Source organism: Homo sapiens, chromosome 3 (assembly GCF_000001405.40).
Source record: "Homo sapiens chromosome 3, GRCh38.p14 Primary Assembly".
Taxonomy (NCBI): domain Eukaryota; kingdom Metazoa; phylum Chordata; class Mammalia; order Primates; family Hominidae; genus Homo; species Homo sapiens.
In genome coordinates this window covers 132,274,686-132,281,112 of record NC_000003.12, presented here as the reverse complement: position 1 = coordinate 132,281,112, position 6,427 = coordinate 132,274,686, and the positions used below count along the sequence as shown (strand labels likewise).

The window sequence follows — 6,427 nt, the reverse complement described above, 5'->3', positions numbered from 1 at the left end:
GTTTCCCATAGTTTCTCATGCATTGTGATTTTATTGTTATTTTCTAAATTATTTACAATTCTTTTCTTTTTCCATGTCAGATGGGTAATGTGCGGATGTGGTAAAAAGGTTTAAAAAAGGCTGCCGGGCACGGTGGCTCACGCCTGTAATCCCAGCACTTTGAGAGGCCGGGGCGGGTGGATCACGAGGTCAAGGGTTCAAGACCAGCCTGACCAAGATGGTGAAACCCCGTCTCTACTAAAAATACAAAAAATTAGCCAGGCATGGTGGCGGGTGCCTGTAATCCCAGCTACTTGGGAGGCTGAGGCAGAGAAATGCTTGAACTCGGGAGGCGGAGGTTGCAGAGAGCCGAGATCACGCCACTGCACTCCAGCCTGGGAGACGGAGCGAGACTCTGTCTCAAAAAACAAACAAACAAAAACAAAAAAAAAGAAAGGCACATCTCACACATGAACGTGAAAACCCAGTAATCACTGTTATGAACTACAAAAGGATCTATTTACTTTACTTGATTTGAATTTTTTCTGAAACAAATTCAGAGAGAGTTTTAAAGTTTTTTGGCTGTAGGACACTTTTTTTATTTTTATTAATTTTCAAAGATAAGCTACAGTCTTACTGTAATTAAATTTTTACCTATTTCTCATTACATTTTTAGAAGTTGTTGACTTATGGATTTAGATGCTGCATAAAAATTTACAATAATTAAATCTTCATTGTAGACAGGGGCATTTATCTTGATATAGTGACCATTTTTATAATTTTTTTTCTCCTACCAAAGTGGCAAACTTTCCCCGGTTAACACATAGATAAGCCTTTTCTTTGTATTATTATATATATATATATATATTCTAATCTTCCTCCCATTTTGAGACTGTCCCTCATCAAAACAACCTACATCCCATAGTGGTATGGTTTAAATGTACCCTTTAAAACTCACATTGAAACTTAATCCCCAGTGTGACAGTATTGAGAGGTGGGGTCTTTAAGACATGATTGAATTCTGGGTGTGGTGGCTCACACCTGTAATCCCAGCACCTTGGGGGGCTGAGGTGGGAGGATCACCTGAGGTCAGGAGTTCAAGACCAGCCTGACCAACAGGGTGAAACCCCATCTCTACTAAAAATACAAAATTAGCTGGGTAAGATGGTTCATGCCTGTAATCTCAGCTACTCGGGAGGCTGAGGCAGGAGAATCGTTTGAACCTGGGAAGCAGAGGTTGCAGTGAGCCGAGATTGCACCGAGCCGAGATCGCACCATTGCACTCCAGCCTAGGCAACAAGAGCAAAACTCTGTCTCAGAGAAAACAAAAAAAGACATGATTGCATGAGGACTCTCCCTCAAGAATGGAATAATCCATCCATGGACTAATGGGTTAATGGATTATTATGTTATCATGGGAGGGGAACTGGTGGCTTTATAAGAAGAGAAAGAGAGACCTGAGCTCATGCTCAGCACCTTTGCCATGTGATATCCCGTGCTGCCTCGGGACTCTGTAAAGAAGTCCCCAGCAAGAAGGCTGTCACTAGATGCAACCCCTCGACCTTGGACTTAGCCTCCTGATCTGTAGAAAATAAATTCCTTTTCTTTATAAAATACACAGTTTCAGGTATTCTAAGCAACACAAAATGAACTAAGATGTAATAAACAACCAGATGAATTTATAATTTCTACAGTTTGATCCACAGCTTCAATTACAATGTTAGAGTTTCAGATGTTTTTAGATCCTTTCTTAGCACAAAGGAAAATGTAGAATGTGGAGGAACATATTCCTCATAAAACCAACCAATAAAACTTACAAACGTATAACTTGGACAACAGAGGGAGCAGAAGGCTGCTAGCTAGAGGTTTTCTTAAAGAATCCCCTGGGGAGCTGGTAAGAAATTCATGCTCCTGGAATCTCAAGATTTGGAAGGTTCAGTGGAAGCAGAAATGGGAATTTCAAGCAAGTACTACAAGTGATGTTGCTGAAGACCCATGCTGACCCCCTTAAACACTACTGTAGGGAAAGGTTTCTCATCTATTACCTCCTCAGGAAAGAAACACTTAAACATCAGGAACACGTATTAACTATTTTTTGGGAAACTTGAGGCTATGTTAACATAAGAAATTGGCCTGGCACAGTGGCTCATGCCAGTAATCCCAGCATTTTGGGAGGCCGAGACAGGTGGATCACCTGAGGTCAGGGGTTTGAGACCAGCCTGGCCAACATGATGAAACCCCGTCTCTACTACAAATACCAAAAATTAGCTGGGCGTAGTGGTGGGCACCTGTAATCCCAGCTACTAAGGAGGCTGAGACAGGAGAATTGCTTGAACCTGGGAGGCGGAGGTTGCAGTGAGCCGAGATTGCGCTGTTGCACTCCAGCCTGGGCAACAAGAGTGAAACTCCATCCAAAAAAAAACACCACACCAAAAACAAAAAACAAAAAAACCCATAACAAATTAGCTTTAGGTGAATGTTTGTCTTTTTTCTTTTTTCTTCCAGAGAGACTCAATTTACTAGGCTGATGTTGCTGTCTTTCTTCTCTCCCTCCCTCTTCCCCTATTTTGCCCTTTATATTAGTTTCCTGGGGCTTCGCTAACAAAGTAACACAAACCGGGTGGCTTACATAACAGAATCTTGGTTTTAATATAGAGTATTAAAAGCCAGAATTTCCTGAATATAAAGCTGGTATTTCTTTCTTTTCTTTCTTTCTTTTTTTTAAACCATCCTGCTATATCTCTGCTAAAAGGTATGTGTGAGCCAAAAGTTTAAAGAAATGGCAATTTTATATCTTGGTATTTTAATTATCGACAAATAACATTGTTGTCTATCATGTATTTATTTAACAAGTATTTAATGAAATCTGAAATATACTGTCGGGATCAAGAGCTTGGCCCTCTGATAGTTCATTGAAAAATCAACTCACAATAAGGCAGATAATCAGAGAAAGGTCATACAAATTTATTTAACGTTATACAAAAGAGCCTACAGAATGAAGACCCAAAGATAAAGGGGAAATTGCCCATTTTTATGCTTAGGTTCAACAAAGTATGGACAGCTGTGTAGAGCTATGATTGGACAAAAAGGGTAAGATCTCCTGCTAATGGACTGAGTGGGAAACCAAGCAAAGTCTGCCTAGATTCTTCTTGGCCTCTCTGAGCATTCAGTCCTTTCTTCTGGCTATGGGGCTGGCCCCTCTCTGCAATGGGGGTCTTATGACTAAAACCACCTATGCAAAATTATAACTGAGGGAATTATGACAGTTGTTAGAAATACCAAAATTGTTAGAAATAATTGGTGTGGCAAAGAAAAGTCAGCACAGAGACAAAAGATCTCCCAGCAAGGCAATCTTTACTTTCTGCAGAAAGGGTGCTCAATCGCAGATGGAACAATGGTGAGAGCACACCTGAACAAAGGAAAAGCGGACATATTTATCCCTTGTACATTTGGATCGTCCTTACTGCTGTGTCCGGCATCCATTGGCTGGAGCTGAACCTCACAATCTTTTTTTTTTTTTTTTTTTTTTTTTTTTTTTTTTTTTTTTGAGACGGAGTCTCGCTCTGTCGCCCAGGCCGGACTGCGGACTGCAGTGGCGCAATCTCGGCTCACTGCAAGCTCCGCTTCCCGGGTTCACGCCATTCTCCTGCCTCAGCCTCCCGAGTAGCTGGGACTACAGGCGCCCGCCACCGCGCCTGGCTAATTTTTTGTATTTTTAGTAGAGACGGGGTTTCACCTTGTTAGCCAGGATGGTCTCGATCTCCTGACCTCATGATCCACCCGCCTCGGCCTCCCAAAGTGCTGGGATTACAGGCGTGAGCCACCGCGCCCGGCCGAACCTCACAATCTTAAACTGATACCCGATTTGCTAATAGCCTAAAACTTTCCTAAATAGGTAAGTGCAAGGAAGAACAAAGAAGTTGCTTACAAAAGGTTTAAGGAAGCAATAACATTTCCAAATAAGGAAGGGGCATAGACTGTGAGCTGGAACATGCTTGTGAGCATGTCCAACAGTTACATAGGATAGGGCTTAACAAAGAGTTATTAGCACAAAGCAAGGAGGCTTGAAGAAAGTTAGTCTTTACAAGAAACTGCCATTTCTAACACTTATGATTTATTCTTTAACAAGATGGGGAACTTTGAAGAGGAAACTTTTTACTTTCTACAACAGAAAGAAATCAGACCTAACCGACTCCATCTTGCTTCTAACCTTTAAGCTGTCCTTGTTCACTCCTGGGGATAGGCCGAACTGACTTTGGGAAGGAATTCAGTTCATGGTTTGACTTAGCGGTCATGCAACCTGGCTCCAAGAGTCTGAACCTCCCCAAATTGCTCCTGGGGGTAACATCACTATTGTGAAACCTAAGATCAATGCTGGAGATATTTTGCAGACCCTGCACTGGCTGGATCAGCTGACACCACTCAGACCTGGCTCAACCAGTTCTGCCATCCCACCCAGTAACAGAAAACAGCAAGAAAAACTCACTTCAACCCTCTAGGATTCCATCTCCAACCTGACCAATCAGCACTCCCCACTTTGCAACCCCCTGCCGACCAAATTATCTTTAAAAACTCTGATCCACTGAATGCTCAGGGAGACCTATTTGAATAATCATAAAACTCCAGTCTCCTGCACAGCTGGCTCTGTGTGAATTACTCTTTCTCCACTGTAATTCCAATCTTGATAAATGGGCTCTGTCTAGGCAGCAGGCAAGGTGAACACATTGGGCAGTTACATGACCTGTAGTCAAACAAGGCAAGTCAGATAATTTCTCTATGGACGGGGTTTTTTTTTTTTTTTTTAGGTGGAGCCTTGCTCTGTCACCAGGCTGGAGTGCAGTGGTGTGATCTTGGCTCACTGCAACCTCCACCTTCCGGGTTCAAATGATTCCCCTGCCTCAGCCTCCCGAGTAGCTGGGACTACAGGTGCATGCCACCATGACTGGCTATGTGGCCAATTTTTACACAGAAAAACAGAGAGAAAATTAGAGTAATATTTTTAGGTTTTATGGCTGGCATTGCGGAAAAGGGGTTCTGGTTTCTATGAACCGCCTTGGGGAAGAGGGATAATAATTTCTATGGCCCACTTTAAAGTTCATATGGAACCAAAAAAGAGCCTGCATTGCCAAGTAAATCCAATCCTAAGCCAAAAGAACAAAGCTGGATGCATCACACTACCTGACTTCAAACTATACTACAAGGCTACAGTAACTAAAACAGCATGGTACTGGTACCAAAACAGAGATATAGACCAATGGAACAGAACAGAGCCCTCAGAAATAACACCGCATATCTACAACTATCTGATCTTTGACAAACCTGAGAAAAACAAGCAATGGGGAAAGGATTCCCTATTTAATAAATGGTGCTGGGAAAACTGGCTAGCCATATGTAGAAAGCTGAAACTGGATCCCTTCCTTACACCTTATACAAACATTAATTCAAGATGGATTAAAGACTTAAACATTAGACCTAAAACCATAAAAACCCTAGAAGAAAACCTAGGCATTACCATTCAGGACATAGGCATGGGCAAGGACTTCATGTCTAAAACATCAAAAGCAATGTCAACAAAAGCCAAAATTGACAAATGGGATCTAGTTAAACTAAAGAGCTTCTGCACAGCAAAAGAAACTACCATCAGAGTGAACAGGCAACCTACAGAATGGGAGAAAATTCTTGCAACCTACTTATCTAACAAAGGGCTAATAACCAGAATCTACAATGAACTCAAACAAATTTACAAGAAGAAAACAAACAACCCCATCAAAAAGTGGGCAAAGGATATGAACAGACACTTCTCAAAAGAAGACATTTATGCAGTCAAAAAACACATGAGAAAATGCTCATCATCACTGGCCATCAGAGAAATGCAAATAAAAACCACAGTGAGATACCATCTCACACCAGTTAGAATGTCAATCATTAAAAAGTCAGGAAACAACAGGTGCTGGAGAGGATGTGGAGAAATAGGAACACTTTTACACTGTTGGTGGGACTGTAAGCTAGTTCAACCATTGTGGAAGTCAGTGTGGTGATTCCTCAGGGATCTAGAACTAGAAATACCATTTGACCCAGCCATTCCATTACTGAGTATATACCCAAAGGATTATAAATCATGCTGCTATAAAGACACATGCACACGTATATTTATTGTGGCACTACTCACAATAGCAAAGACTTGGAACCAACCCAAATGTCCATCAATGATAGACTGGATTAAGAAAATGTGGCACATATACACCATGGAATACTATGCAGCCATAAAAAATGATGAGTTCATGTCGTTTGTAGGGACATGGATGAAGCTGGAAACCATCATTCTCAGCAAACTATCGCAAGGACAAAAAATCAAACACCACATGTTCTCACTCATAGGTGGGAACTGAACAATGAGAACACATGGACACAGGAAGGGGAACATCACACACTGGGGCCTGTTGTGGGG

General features: G+C 41.7%; 1 pseudogene; it reads right to left on the bottom strand.

Moving 5' to 3' along the window:
- Nucleotides 1-419: 419 nt before the first annotated feature.
- Nucleotides 420-495, bottom strand: LOC124906374 (uncharacterized; annotated as a pseudogene).
- Nucleotides 496-6,427: the final 5,932 nt, after the last annotated feature.